This window comes from Homo sapiens, chromosome 5 (assembly GCF_000001405.40).
Source record: "Homo sapiens chromosome 5, GRCh38.p14 Primary Assembly".
Classification (NCBI taxonomy): domain Eukaryota; kingdom Metazoa; phylum Chordata; class Mammalia; order Primates; family Hominidae; genus Homo; species Homo sapiens.
This window is the reverse complement of record NC_000005.10, coordinates 179,519,105-179,534,100: the sequence shown is the minus strand read 5'-3', so window position 1 is coordinate 179,534,100 and position 14,996 is coordinate 179,519,105. Positions and strand designations below refer to the sequence as shown.

The window sequence follows — 14,996 nt, the reverse complement described above, 5'->3', positions numbered from 1 at the left end:
CTGAAACTTTCAACCCATTGAACAGCAACTCCCCACTTCCTCCTCCCCTCAGCCCCTGGAAACTACCATTGTACTCTCTGCTTCTGTGAGTTTGACTATTTTATTTTAATTAATTCATTAATTTTTTTAGACAGAGTCTCGTTTCGTCACCCAGGCTGGACATGATCTCGGCTCACTGCAACCTCCACCTCCCAGGTTTAAGTGATTCTCCTGCCTCAGCCTCCTGAGTAGCTGGGATTACAGGTGCCTGCCGCCATGCCCAGCTAATTTTTACAATATTTTTAGTAGAGACGGGGTTTCACCATGTGGCCAGGCTGGTTTCGAACTTCTGACATCAAGTAATCTGCCCACCTCGGCCTCCCAAAGTGATGGGATTACAGGCATGAGCCACCACACCCAGCTGGTTTCCTTTTTTTCTTTTTTCTTTTTCTTTTTTGAGAGGGAGTCTCACTCTGTCCCCCAGGTTGGAGTGTAGTGGAATGATCTCAGCTCACTGCAACCTCCGCCTCCCAGGTTCAAGTGATTCTCCTGCCTTGCCTCCTGAATAGCTGAGATTACAGGCATGCACCACCACGCCCAGCTAATTTTTGTATTTTTCGTAGCGAGAGAGTGGGTTTCACTATGTTGGCCAGGCTGATGTCAAACTTCTGACCTTGAGTGATCCACCTGCCTCTTCCTCCCAAAGTGCTGGGATTAGAGGCCTGAGCCACCGCGCCCAGCCGGCGGTTTCTTTCTAGGTAGACGGTGATATCATCTTCGAATTATGACAATTTTCTCTCATCTTCCAATCCTTACATCTTTTCTTTCTTTTTCTTTCCTTAGGGCATTGACCAGGAGAATGCAGTTCTGTGTTAAACCACAGGGGATTACTGAGTATTTTTGTGTTAATTAATCCTGACTTAAAGGATTAATTAATTAAGGATCTTTGCAATTTTCTTCCTCAAGTAAAATTTTGATGTAAGCTTTTGGTATATGAAATTTACTAGTTGAGAAAGTTTCTTCCAGTCTTAATTAGTTAAGAGGGAAAAAATCATAAGTAGGCTTTAAATCTTATCAAATTTCTTTCTGAATAGACTGAGATAATTATATGTTTTTTTTCTTTTTACTGTGGTAGCTCATGTTAATAGATTTTTTGATGTTGAAAAATTCTTCCCAGGACTCCGGGAGTCTGAAGCAGGAGGATCGCTTGAGCTCAGGAGTTTGAGACCAGCCTGGGCAACATAGTGAGACCTCATCCCTATTTAAAAAAAAAAAAAAATATATATATATATATATGTGTGTATATATACATATACACACACATGTATACCTATATAGACACACATATATACATATATATACACACATACTATAAAAAAGAAAAATTCTTATATTCCTAAGCTAAGTTTTACTTGATTTTATATGCAGTTGGCCCCTCGTATCCTGGGGTTTTACATCTGTGGTTTCAATCAACCGTGGATCAAAAGTATTTGAAAAACAAAAGCAATAAAAAAAAAACAAGAAAAAATAATATAAATAAAAAAATCAATACAACAACTTTTTTTTTGAGACAGTCTTGCTTTGTTGCCTAGGCTTGAGTGCAGTGGTACCATCACAGCTCACTGCAGCCACAACTTCCTGAGCTCAAGTGAGCCTCCCACTTCAGCCTCCTGAGTAGCTGGGACCACAGGCTGGTCTCGAACTCCTGGGCTCAAGTAATCCTCCTGCCTCAGCCTCCCAAAGTGTTGGGATTACAGGAGTGAGCCACCATGCTTGGCCCCAACAGCTATTTACATAGCATTTACATTGTATTAACTAGTAGTGTAAATAATTTAGAGGTGATTGGGCCGGGCATGGTGGTTCACGCCTGTAACCCCAGCACTTCGGGAGGCCGAGACGGGCAGATCACGAGGTCAGGAGATCGAGACCATCCTGGCTAACACAGTGAAACCCCGTCTCCACTAAAAATACAAAAAATTAGCTGGGTGTGGTTACAGGCGCCTGTAGTCCCAGCTACTCGGGAGGCTGAGGCAGGAGAATGGCGTGAAGCCGGGAGGCAGAGCTTGCAGTGAGCCGAGATCACACCACTGCACTCCAGCCTGGGCGACAGAGCAAGACTCCATCTCAAAAATAAAATAAAATAAAATAAAATTTAGAGGTGATTTAAATTATACCTCTAAATAATTAACCTGGGACAGAGGATGTGCATAGGTTATAGGTTATACGCAAATACAGATGCTCCTTGACTTATGATGGGGTTACAACCAAATACATCCATCGTATAGATTGACCATATGGCGAGTTGAATTTACAATGGGTTTATCCAGATGTAACCCTATTGTAAGATGAGAAGCGTTCTGAATGCCCATTGCTTTTGCACCATTGGCAAGTCAAATCCCAATTGAAGCCATCATAAATTGGGGACTGACAGTACAATGCTACTTTATATAAGGGACTTGAGCATTGTGGATTTTGGGGGGAGGGTCCTGGAACGAATCCCCTGTGGATACAGAGGGACTGCTGTATATATACATCTACAGGGCAAGATAGTTTATTTTTAAAAATTATACCATGTCGATTGTGATGACTGGCATATAGATTATGATGGTTTTTCTCTGATGTTGTATACTGAAATGTTTTCATAGGACCAAGAATGTTAGAAAAATAAAGATCTTAAATACAATATGATAAATTTATATATATACTATTTGATTCTGTTAGCTATATTTTGTTTTATATCAGTGATCATAAGTAAAAAATGGTTTTATAATTTTATTTTTATGTTAACCTTATCTGATTTGAGAATTAAAAATTCTAGTTTCATAAAATGAACTGGATAATTTTTATACTTTTTCTATTTTCTTGTACAGCACACTGTCCAGTAGAAATATAATGCAAGAACACATGTGACTTAATGTTTGTAGTAGCCACTTAGAAAAGTAAAAAGAAATATGTGCAATGAGTTTTAATAATATATTTAATTCAATACGTCCAAAGTAGTGTCATTTGAACATGTTATCAACATAAACATGAATGAAATATTTCACCTTCTATTTTTGTACTAAGTTTTCGAAATCTGTTCTTTTATATTGATAGCACTTCTTAATTCAGACACGAAATTTTCATAAGAAGTACATGATTTGTATTTAGGTTTCATAAAATTTACAATTCAAAAAGTAGATTCACATACGCGAATCGTTTCAAACATACCTCTGGGCCCAGCGCCTCGCCCTGTCCTCGCCGGGTGAAGTCGGCCCTGACTGCAGCCTGCGAAGCACCCGCCCATTGTCCCCGGAGAGGGCGCCCTGGACGCAAGCGCAGAGCCCCGGGAGGCGCGGGAAGCCGGAGGAGGGCGATGGGGGCGAGGCAGGAAGAGTACGTGGGGCCGAGGGGGGCGAGCGCTGGGCCGCCCGCAGCCGGAGAGTGTCGCCCCTCCTGAAGGCCCTGGGCAGGTGAAATGAGGACCAGCGCTGACAAAGGGCAGGATGCAGAAGACTCCTGACTTTGGATCTCAGATCACCCTCGGAAGCTCCGATTCGGATCCGCGTCCACAGACCCGGCGACCTCAGACAGACCGGGCGTCCGGGGAAGAGGCGGCGGCAGTGAGCACCGCAGTGAGGAAACCAGGCTCCGGCGATCCCCAGGCCTTACGCCCGACCCCAGGGCATTTGGGAGCAGGTCTGCGTCCGGGACCAGCACACTCTGGACGGGAGCTCTGCCTTTCTGGGGTCCTCCAGCTGAAGGATGTGAGTTGCAAGAAACCCATTCTGTAGACCTCGAAATCAGCGGGGAGCCCCAGGCACTTGTGGGGGGACTTTGATGTGGCTCCCACGCATCCACCCGGCACCGCGTGGATTGCCAGGGGCAGGACGAGCTTGAGTGGACGCTGGGTTCGCTGAGCCCCCCAGAGGCTCCTCGCCCTGGGTCACCTGTGCCGCCTTGGACCACCCAGAGAAACCTTTCCTCCCACCAGGTGAGCCGCAGGCCAGGCGCCAGGCCTGAGTGTGCCCGGGACGGGGATTTCTCTGTGAACGGCCCATCATCCCATAATATCCACGTTGTCTTAGCCTCATGTTCTGAAGAAACACGAATTTCATACACAAGCGTGGATTTTTGCATGTTTTAAATTGTAAATGCGACTAACTCCAAGGAAGTTGGAACTTGAAGCAGGCTCAAAGCAAACTTAGTCGCGTCATCCGCCACCATCCTCCAGGGTAAACCGAGGAGCACAGTTAATTGGTTTTCCACGGGTATTTGCCACTTGTCAGATGGGCTGTTATGGACGTAACCACGTAATTCCTGGAACCCAGTGAGAGTCAGCTTCCTTTACGGGCGTCTGACAAGATGTGCTCAAACACCTTGAAGATCTTTATGGAAACAACTTTTGGCTCTTTATCAAGATGTCATTCAGGGCTCTGAACAGTCGAATACGTTGTGGATGGGTTTGCTGTAGTTATACAGTGTGCATTTGATACTTGTCAATAGCGCTAGTAATGTTATTGCAAAAATAAAACCTTCTTTAAAAAAGAGGCCGGGCGCGGTGGCTCACGCCTGTAATCCCAGCACTTTGGGGAGGCTCAGGCAGGTGGATCACGAGGTCAGGAGATGGAGACCATCCTGGCTAACATGGCGAAACCCCGTCTCTAGTAAAAATACAAAAAATTAGCCGGGTGTGGTGGCGGGCGCCTGTAGTCCCAGCTACTCGGGAGGCTGAGGCAGGAGAATGGCGTGAACCTGAGAAGCGGAGCTTGCAGTGAGCCGAGATGGCACCACTGCACTCCAGCCTGGGCGACAGAGCGAGACTCTGTCTCAAAAAAAAAAAAAAAAGAGAAAAAAGAAAGAAAGAAAAGTGGCCCGGCACAATGGCTCACGCCTGTAATCCCAGCACTTTGGGAGGCCGAGGCTGGCGGATCGCGAGGTCAGGAGTTCGAGACCAGGCTGGCCAGCATGGTGAAACCCTGTCTCTACTAAAAATACAAAAATTAGCCGGGCATGGTGGCCCGCGCCCAGGCAGGCTGTTCTGGGAGAGAAAACTTGGCTCTCCAATGCGGTGTGGCCATTTGGCTATGACATCACACTGCATAGTTTAATGAGTGAAATCAGACCTCTTCTTGTTATTGGAGATGACTGGAGGATTTTTTTTTTATTTTCCTGAATGTAAGTAGGTAAGCCATGAAGATCCCAGATTTCATTCAGGGACTCAGAACCAGCAGCAAGGAGCAGGCTGCGTGGAGAAAACAGAGTTGGCTCTGGAGTACCCCATGAGTCCAGCTTGTTCAAAGTAAAAGTGGCAATGGCTTTGGGATCACAAAACAGCCCTTGAACATCAAAGTCAATTAGTAGAAACCCCTAAATATCATGGGGCAAAAAATATTTCAAATTTACTTAAATATTCGGTTTATCAGATGGGACTCACTTTTTTTTTCTTTTTTTTTTTTAAACAGATTCTCACTCTGTTGCCCAGGCTGGAGTGCAGTGGCGCCATCTTGGCTCACTGCACCCTCTGCCTCCCGGTTCAAGCAATTTTCCTGTCTCAGCCTCCTGAGTAGCTGGGACTACAGGCACGAGCCACCACGCCCGGCTATTTCTTATATTTTTAGTAGAAATGGAGTTTCACCATGTTGGCCAGGCTGGTCTCAAACTCCTGACCTCAAGTGATCTGCCAGCCTGGACCTCCCGAAGTGCTGGGATTGCAGGCGTGAGCCACGGTGCCCTGCCGGGACTCAATTTTTAACACCTATTTTTAACACTAGCTTTTGTGCTAGTAAATTAAATTAATTCTTTTAAAAAAACCCAATTGTGTGTACTTTAACAAGTAAAACTAAGTTGGTTATAATGTGACAAAAATACAAGCAATAATAATAGCAAAATTATCCAATAGGAACCATGCAGAGAGTTTTATATTATAACTCATGTCCCCTTTCCTGCAATGTTATTAACTTCTATCCCCATTTTCCACATCAAGGAAATTAAGTTTGGAGACACAGAGTGACTTACCTAAGTCACAGGTCTGGTAGGTGGAGAGTTTCTCTCACTCCAGGGACCACAATCTACAAAATAAACTTGCATATTCTACAAAATATTTGTTACCATTGGAAGTAGGTAGGCAGAGTGTTACTAGCATCAAATTATGGCAGGAATAAAAAGAAAGGGTGGTGGGCTGGTCTTGCTTCTGCAGTTTAAGGGGGATCCCTGCGCCGAGATGTCTGGCTAAGTGGTCGTTGTAACAAGTGGCAGAGATGGTGAAAACATCAGGGAGCAGGTGGTGGCTGTTCCAGTTTCTTATCTCAGGAGGGAAGAGCTGCAGATGTCTTTACTGTGAATGAGGGAGAGAAACGCTAAAGCACAGAAATGTTCAGAACCAAAGAGCTGGATCACTCATGCTTCTAGAAAAGACATTGGCATCTTCTCATTGCTCATCTACTGTGCCTGGCACAGCCTTATTTTCTAGCTTTCTGAATGTGAGTTCCATCCATATCCTTTGCATAACGGTGGTACTGGGCTGTGGAGAGCTTGGAATGTGTGTCCATGGGGAAATGGGCTGTTCTGGTTATTATAAAACGGCCAAGGGAGGGCTCCATGGCACACCTCTGAGTAACCCAGGACACTCCTGTTTGGGAAATGCAAACCATCCATACGGCAGGGGCACAATTATAAAGATTGATCCTGTCACGGGAATGGTTTCAAATCTGACCAACCTCATGGCATACATTGGGGAAGCAATTGTGAAACCCCTTGATTCTTTGGATCTGGACATGCTGTACTGTGACAATGGTTTGTGTGTGACAGAAAATGTAGCTGTGTCTACCGGGAAAGACTGGGGAAATTTCTTCCTGTGGAGTTCTTTATAAAGCAAAAGTGCATGAAACTGTCAGTAATATTGTAGTCTATAAAGGGAAATTGCTCTTAGAGGCTAATATTGCACAATGACTACTTTTTTTGCTTATTTGGAAAAGATCTTTATCTCTTGGAGTATTAAGAAGTCAACATATAATTGCCACCCTATACATTGTGTTCTGGAGTGCCTGATTTATTGAAATCAGTGTGAAACCTATTTTAAATAAATATCTATTTCAAAACCAAGGCCAGACATGGTGGCTCATGCCTGTAATCCCACACTCTGGGAGGCTGAGGTGGGAGGATCACTTGAGGCCAGGAGTTCAAGACCAGCCTAGGCAACACAATCTCCACCAAAAAAAAAAAAAAAAAAAAAAAAAAAAGCAATTAGCCAGGCATGGTGGCACATACCTGTTGGTCCCAGCTACTCGGGAGACTGACGCAGGAGGATCGTTTGAGCCCAGGAGTTCAAGGCTACAATGAGCCGTGATGTGCCACTGCACTCCAGCCTGGGTGTGAGACCCTGTCTCCAAAAATAAAGAAGTCTGGAAATATTGACAGTATTTTTCTAATAGATTGAACCCACTTATTCTTCTGGGGTAAAGGCATAAGTTTACACCCGGGAAGTTGGACACATAAATCATCTGCAGCAATGTATGGTGGACGCAGGTGCAGCAGATGATGGGAACGTTGCTTTAAGGCACACCATGCATTGCGGTTTTGCACAACCTGTTGAACTAAGAATTCCTAGTGAGGGGCAGCACATTAAACATGTCATAACAATAAACTATTTATTATGGACAGTAGTCTGTTTTCAGACATTGTGGCTACCCCAAACAACTTTAAGTCAAAAGACATGATCATTTAGTTTAAACCTGTATAAAAAGTCAGTTTAAAAAGGGTGCAGTACTCTGTAATGTATTTTCTATATGGAAATCTTTCCTAATTGGTCCGTTTTTCTGATGATTAAACATCTGGCACACTATAAAAAGAATACAAGCCAGTGGTGTACTAGAGGACACTCATGACCGTGTTTCATCATTTTGAGATTCAATGACATTGAAGGGAGTAAAATAGAAAATATAATAGGTATAAATTTGTAATTATAAGGAATAGGAGGGAAGTTCTTGTTGGAACAAATTGGCTGCAAGGGCCCTCGTGTCGACTTTGCTCCTTTTGAAGAAAGGAGTGTGATGCTTTCACCCTGAGGGATAATCTGAGAGACTTCACCAGTGACACATACTTGACAGATGATATTAAAGCAGACTTTAACAAGCCAACGACAATGTGTTACTTATGAGCAGTAAGAAATACACAGTCTAACCAAAGTGCACCCTTTAGAAAGTGCTGGGCATATAAGTAGTGAGGCCTTTCATTATTCTAATACACATGTTGACTAAATGGACACTTTCTTCAATTCGGATGATAAGACGCCTCTTCCCAGTAGTTGGGATGGCTGTGCGTCTGTCTCAGGCACACATTCCGTGAGAAGCTGTGTAAGATTTCAGTTTATTTGGAGCATCACATCCTTTTTAAACCCTTTACTGAATATAAAATGAAGCCTGACCTCCTGAGTCTTGGAAAATGTGCATTTCTTAGAATTATTTAAACAATGAATCCTCCGGCTGGACTTGGTGGCTCACGCCTCTAATCCCAGCAGTTTGGGAGACCAAGGGGAGTGGATCACCTGAGGCCAGGAGTTCGAGACCAGCCTGGCCAACATGGTGAAACCCCGTCTCTACTAAAAATACAAAAATTAGCCAGCTGTGGTGGTGCATGTCTGTAATCCCAGCTACTCGGGAGGCTGAGGCAGGAGAATCGCTTGAACCCAGGAGGTGGAGGTTGCAGTGAGCCGAGATCACACCACTGCACTCCGGCCTGGGTGACAGAGCGAGACTCTGTCTCAAAAAAAAAAAAAAAAAAAGAAAAGAATCCTTTTAAGTAGTTCATCAGCTTAAGCCATGTTGGCTGAACATTAAGACTTTGTCAAATCCTGGAAACATAGGTAATATCATTTGAAGGTATTAAATTTTAAGGAACAAAATAATATTAAAATTAGGAAGAATTATTTTGCCATAGGATAAAATAGAAATACTGCCATACATTTGACTTATTTGTTTGAAAATCTTTATGTGATTGTTGCTTCATTTTAAAAATCAGACCTCACAAACCTGAGCCAAGTTATGTGCAAAATAATATGCCAGTTGCACAGCCCTGGAGGCCAGTGTGAGCCCTGCCTCCATCTGCCTGCATGTGGGGTCTCCCTAGAAGGAAGCCTTTGGTAGGTGGGTGGGAAGATTAGGGTGCTCGAATGGGTACTGTGAGGAGGTGCAGTGGCACCAGGCTCTAGCAGCCTCCTGCCTCCAGGAGAGGCCCAGGTTGGGATCACTGCAGCGACCAACGCCTCGGATCACTCGAGGGCTAGAAGGCACCCACCAGGTGTGTGGACAGGAGCGCTCAGGGGCCTTGCACATTGGGCATATTATGGCGTCAGTTTCGGAATCAGCCTGCATGGAGTCGGACCAGGACACCCAGCCAGGATTCCGTCGTCGGGGAGGGGAACGCCCATGTGGCTTGTGTGAAGGGTGCTTCAGGGGACGCAAAGGCTCTGGTGGCTGGGAGGAGCTGAGGGATGACAGATACCCCAAGGATTCTGTGGAGCTGGTCGGGTTTGGTGATAGGGTGCTCGCAGGTGGCCGGTGTGAAGGGTGCTTCAGGGGACACAGAGGCTCTGATGCCTGGGAGGAGCTCAGGGATGATGGAGACCCAAGGGACTCTATGGAGGTCTTCGGGACTGATGACGGCATGGAGGCCAGAGGAGCCGGGGGAGCCCGTGGGGACACATGGAAGCTGGTGGGAGAAGCTTTCCCACGCCCCCCACGTGGCCGGTGGTTCCTAGCAGGTGCTGGTTTGTACACTGGCCCTGGGCGGACTTGGCGTGGAAGGTGATGGGAGCTGCCCTCCCTAGAGAGCTTCTTCAGGCGCCTGCAGGAGACAGGAGGCACAGGCTGCAGCCGGGAGCACTGGGCACCTGTGGACCTCCAGGGCCCCCCTGCTGACTTCACAAAGCTCTGCCTACCCCTGCCCAGGGCTTTAGTGACATAACGGCCGTGATCTCCCCTCCCAGATCAGCCCCAGGCCCTGGGGTGGCATCCTAGGTCCTGGTAGGAAGGAGGACATGGGAGAGAAGGGGAAGAGCCTCACTTTTCCAGCAGGAAAGTGTAGACCTCAAGGTTCTCCAATTCTTTCAAGAGAATTCTGCAGTCTGGAAAGCAGGAGATGGGTTATGGTGGCGAGGGAGGGAACTGGGACTTACAGGAGGCCGAGTGCGTGTGCCCTTAGGGGAGACCCCGGGATCGGGGATTAGACCCTGGAGCCCCAGCATCCCTGTCCAAGGCCACAGGGCCCCAGGAGTGATAGCCAGATGCCCGGTGGGCAGCGTTTTCTCATTTATAGAGTGCCTCCTGACACTCCCCATCATGGGGGTCACGACCACCTCCTGGGGAGAGAGGACAGGGTGGCCTCAGAGAGGGCTCAGCCATGTTAAACAGCTGCCCACATGGACCTGCAGCCCCTCCTGCATGTCCAGGTGGTCACTGGTCCCCTCCCCCACACGGTCCCCTCCTGGGCAACACCTGCTTCCTGGACCCCATGGCTTCATCCCATGGAGAGGGATCCCGGGTTCCAATTTCTCTCCTAGGAGGTTCCCTTCAGGCCTCTGAAAATGAATTCCTTGGAGACAAGCAGCATGTTCCTAGGATCAGGTGAAGCTGTCACCTCTGGGGGCTTCTGGGACCCTCAGAGCCTTACCTTTCAAAGTGATATATTTATTTCCGATCCTGAGCCATTCCCCCACTTCAGCTTGATCCTGAGAGACAAGAAAGAGGGTGCAGGCCGGGTCTCAGTCTCCTGTCCCCACAGCTGCAGACCCAGTGCTCGTGAATGACACACTTTCTCCGCCCAGCTCATGGAGCCTGTGTGCTTCTCTTTCACTGGTTTCTAAAGTGCGTAATAACCTTTTTCTGGTTTCCTTCTCTGGAAAGCATGGAGGGGTTTTCTATGTGAGGCCTGCCCTGGGTATCCTCAGTCCCTGTTCCGCTGCTTGGGAAACACACACTCTTGGGTCTGCAGGTGCCTCTGAGCTGGCAGGGAGGATTCTGCTTCCGAGGAGGCCAGGGGCGACTCCAGTCTCAGGTGGGAGGCTCTCAGGGGCTCAGCACAGCCCCCAGAGCACCTCACACAGAGGCTGGGCCCCGAGGCACCTGCCCAGGAAGGCGGCTGATGAGCCCGGGCTCAGGGCCTGTCCTTCCACAGAGACCTCACCCCTCTCATGACCGGGTCCTCGCCGCTGAGTCCTGGGGTTTGGTTTTGCTCTGACGCCTCCCGTGCACCTCCACAGATGGTCTGGGGGCTTGGGTTGGAAATCCTATGCCCACTCCAACCCCTGCCTGCCCTGCTGTCCCTAGAGGGATGATGAGAGTTCCCATCACAGGAGCGCCTCTGGTTGATGTGGAAAAGTGGAAAAGAGAGCAGGAAAAATAGAAGCATTCTCTGCTGGGTGTGGGCTGAGGGCTCCTTACATTCTCGCTGTCCTCCTCTCTGGGAGGCACTGAGGATGGCTCCCTGGGAATGTAGGGGCATAAGATGATCAGGATCACCAGGCTGAACACAATGAAGAGGACGAAATGGATGATCTGGGGAATGGGGCTGGGGCACAGCTCTGTCTCAATAACACTGTGCAGAGGAAAGAGAATATCCATGTCAACTGCACTGCTGTCCTCAGGCAGCTGAGCCCTGGGCATCCCCTCTGGGACAAGTTACTGGGGCCCAGGTCCACATCACAGAGCTGGGGCCTCCCCCTCACAAAGGGCTCCTAAGGGTGGGGTGGGCAGTGGGAGGAGGAGGCTAAAGCCCAGCCCCGCCCACCACCACCCACCCCTGCAGTTCCCTCCACCCTCCTGGCCTTCCGGATCCCTCCTTCCCACTCCACCTTCTCAACCTGTCAGAGACAGACCTGGCCCGTTTTCCGTCCTCTCACCCTGGCACACAGATGATACCTGGTTCATTGGAGAACTCTGCTCAGACTCCCTCAGTTTCACAGTTTTTGAGGATCTGGATTTGTCCCCGAAATTCCTGTTATTTCCAGGGATTATTGCTCCAGGGTCTCCTCTGCCTGCAATTCTAACCTCCCCACACAATATGTTCTTGCCTTGCTTCAACTCAGACATAGAGCTTACATTTTTATACTTGTTTATCATTGTGAGTTTTGAATAAATTTTTATAATTTTTGCTTCAATTAATCTTTACTGTCTTCAGCTAGACTTAATCAAAAATTAAATCAATTCTTTATTATTAAAATTCATAGGACTAAAAAAGTATAAAATTGAACTAAACCTTCAAAGAATATTTTTATATATTTGCAATATTTTTGCTTCTAAAATCAATAAAAGTTAAAGTGCATGAGAAATTTTGGAATATTTGGCATACACACACACACATACACACACACACATATACACACATACCCTGTGACAAATCAATTCAGTATTTTCAAATAGAAGAATCAAGCCTTTCTTTCAGTTCAGAAGCTTTCTTTTAGTGTTTCTTATGAGGTAGGATGGCTGGCAGCAAATTTTCTGTCTTTATCTGGGAATATCTTTATTTTTAAAAGATAGATTTGCTGGACATGGCATTTTTAGTTGACAATTTTTTTTCTTTCATTCTTTGACTATGCCATCCCATTGCCTTCCCATCATTCATTCATTCATTCTTTTTCTTTCTTTCTTTCTTTCTTTCTTTCTTTCTTTCTTTCTTTCTTTCTCTCTCTCTCTCTCTCTCTCTCTCTCTCTTTCTTTCTTTCTTTCTTTCTTTCTTTCTTTCTTTCTTTCTATTTCTCTCTCTCTCTCTCTCTTTCTTTCTTTTTGAGACAGAATCTCCCTCTGTTTGTTGCCCAGGCTGGAGTGCAGTGGTGTGATCTCAGCCCACTGCAAACTCTGCCTCCCAGGTTCAAGCGATTCTCTGGCCTTAGCCTTCAAGTAGCTGGGATTACAGGTGTGCACCAACATGCCTAGCTAATTTTTTCTTTTTTTTTCTCTTTTTTTGAGATGGAGTCTCACTCCGTCGCCCAGGCTGGAGTGCAGTGGCGAGATCTTGGCTCACTGCAACCTCCACCTCCCGGGTTCATGCCATTCTCCTGCCTCAGCCTCCCAAGTAGGTGGGACTACAGGCGCCTGCGACCACGCCTGGCTAATCTTTTGTATTTTTAGTAGAGATGGCATTTCACTGTGTTAGCCAGGATGGTCTTGATCTCCTGACCTCGTGATCTACCCACCTCGGCCTCCCAAAGCTCTGGGATTACAGGCGGGAGCCACCGCGCCTGGTCTAATTTTTGTATTTTTAGTAGAGATGGGGTTTCACCATGTTGGCCAAGCTGGTCTCGAACTCCTGACCTCAGGTATTCCACCTGCCTTGGCCTCTCAAAGTGCTGGGATTACAGGCGTGAGCTGCCGTTCATGGTCTCACCATTGTTTCTGATCAGAAATCAGTGGCTAATTTTATCGTGGTGCTCTTGTACATGAGGAGAAGTTTTTGTCTTACTGTTTTCAATATTTGCTCTTTGTGTTTTCGTAGCTTGACACAAGGTGTGTAGGAGTGGATATATTGGTATTTATTTTACTGAAAGTAAACATTGATTCTATAGATTAATGTTTTATATCAAATTTGGTAAGTTTTCAGCCATTATTTCTATAAATAATTCTTTCTTTCCCCTTTTCTTTCTTTCTGAGACTCTCATTCTACATATGTTGTGCTTGACGTTTCATAAGTCATTTTTCTTTTTCTTTTTTGTTTGAGACAGAGTTTCGCTCTTGTTGCCCAGGCTGGAGTGCAATGGCGTGATCTCGGCTCACTGCAACCTCTGCCTCCCAGGTTCAAGCGATTCTCCTGCCTCAGTCTCCTAAGTAGCTGGGATTACAGGCATGCACCTGTAACCTCAGGTGATTTGCTCGCCTCGGCCTCCCAAAGTGCTGGGATTACAGGATTGAGCCACCGTGCCTGGCCCTTTTTAAGTTCTTTTAACATAAGTAACTGCTTTGAAGTCTTTGTTTGCTAAGTGTGACATCTGGGGACACAAAGACAGTTTTCCCCCACACTTGCCTGTTTCTTTTTGTCTTGTAACTTATCATTGAACACTGGATACTTTAGGTTATAGACTCTTCAACTCTGGATTCTGAATCTTTTCCGCTGAGAGTTGTTACTGTTTGTTCGTTTGTTTGTAACCAGCCTGTACTAAATTTGTAAATTCTGTGAGCAGCGTGTATCCGGAGCCGTCTCTGCTCATTTTTTGTTTGTTTCTTATGCATGGCTTCCCAGGAACCGCTCCTTTATCTGCGTGCTTGGTATTCTGCCAACAGTTGTCTGAATTTGTACACGAACACCTTGAGTCGGTGAGGCTTCCACTGTTGCTGATGGATCTACCCGTGGACTAGGGCGTGCACACACAGCTCAGGCCATCTGCTTTCCACAGGCATCTCCCCTCGCTGTGTCTTCTCTTCGCATGAGCTCAGGAACCGTCATCTGTCAGTGATGCTGGGTGGTTTGGGCAGGTTCTGGTCTCTGAGGAGAAGAGCAGAGCTACTGGTCCTTCCTGTTTGTTTGCATCAATATCCCTATTTGAAAATTCTCCAAATCATGTGAGTCCCTCTGGTGGTGACAGCAAAGCTGCTGGTTTCATGGTGTTCAACAAATGTGTTTTATATTTAGGTCTATGGGCCGGGAGTGGTGGCTCAGGCCTGTAATCCAAGCACTTTGGGAGACTGAGGTGGGCAGATCACCAGAAGTCAGGAGTTCAAGACCAGCCTGGCCAACATGGTGAAACCCCATCTCTACTAAAAATACAAAATTTAGCCAGGCATGGTGGTGGTCACCTGTCATCCCAGCTACTCAGGGGGCTGAGGCTGGAGAATCGCTTGAACCTGGGAGGCAGAGGTTGCAGTGAGCCGAGATTGCACACAATAAATAAATGATTTAATGCCCATACAATGGAGTGCCGTGCAGCTCTTAAAAAGAATGCCACGAGGATGGTCAACACATGCTGTTCTCCTGGATGAGGATTATTACCATCAGCTCCATTTTTCAGGTGAGAAAACTGAGACTTAGGGAGGCTACATAATTTTCCGAAG

The 14,996-nt window shown here is 46.6% G+C and overlaps 2 long non-coding RNA genes across 2 annotated transcripts in view, besides 2 other annotated features; both read right to left on the bottom strand.

Moving 5' to 3' along the window:
• The window catches only part of LOC128966623 (uncharacterized), a 130,785-nt gene extending 119,141 nt beyond the window's left edge, over nucleotides 1–11,644 (bottom strand). The window contains 4 exon segments of the long non-coding RNA NR_185480.1: nucleotides 9,386–9,801; nucleotides 10,021–10,081; nucleotides 10,627–10,684; nucleotides 11,397–11,644. This is a non-coding gene — a long non-coding RNA (uncharacterized LOC128966623).
• Nucleotides 3,118–3,723: an enhancer, noted in NCBI's record as "H3K27ac-H3K4me1 hESC enhancer chr5:178957379-178957984 (GRCh37/hg19 assembly coordinates)". NCBI's record gives its function as "activates a minimal SCP1, AML or CMV promoter by ChIP-STARR-seq in naive H9 embryonic stem cells {active_cell/tissue: H9 hESC(naive)}" and the evidence as "EXISTENCE:reporter gene assay evidence [ECO:0000049][PMID:30033119]".
• Nucleotides 3,724–4,330: an enhancer, noted in NCBI's record as "H3K27ac-H3K4me1 hESC enhancer chr5:178956772-178957378 (GRCh37/hg19 assembly coordinates)". NCBI's record gives its function as "activates a minimal SCP1, AML or CMV promoter by ChIP-STARR-seq in naive H9 embryonic stem cells {active_cell/tissue: H9 hESC(naive)}" and the evidence as "EXISTENCE:reporter gene assay evidence [ECO:0000049][PMID:30033119]".
• On the bottom strand, nucleotides 8,927–11,605 carry LOC100289470 (chromosome 5 open reading frame 60-like). The gene is made up of 4 exons (NR_171571.1): nucleotides 11,397–11,605; nucleotides 10,627–10,684; nucleotides 10,021–10,081; nucleotides 8,927–9,801 (listed from the first exon to the last, which is right to left on the bottom strand). It is a non-coding gene; the product is annotated as a chromosome 5 open reading frame 60-like (long non-coding RNA).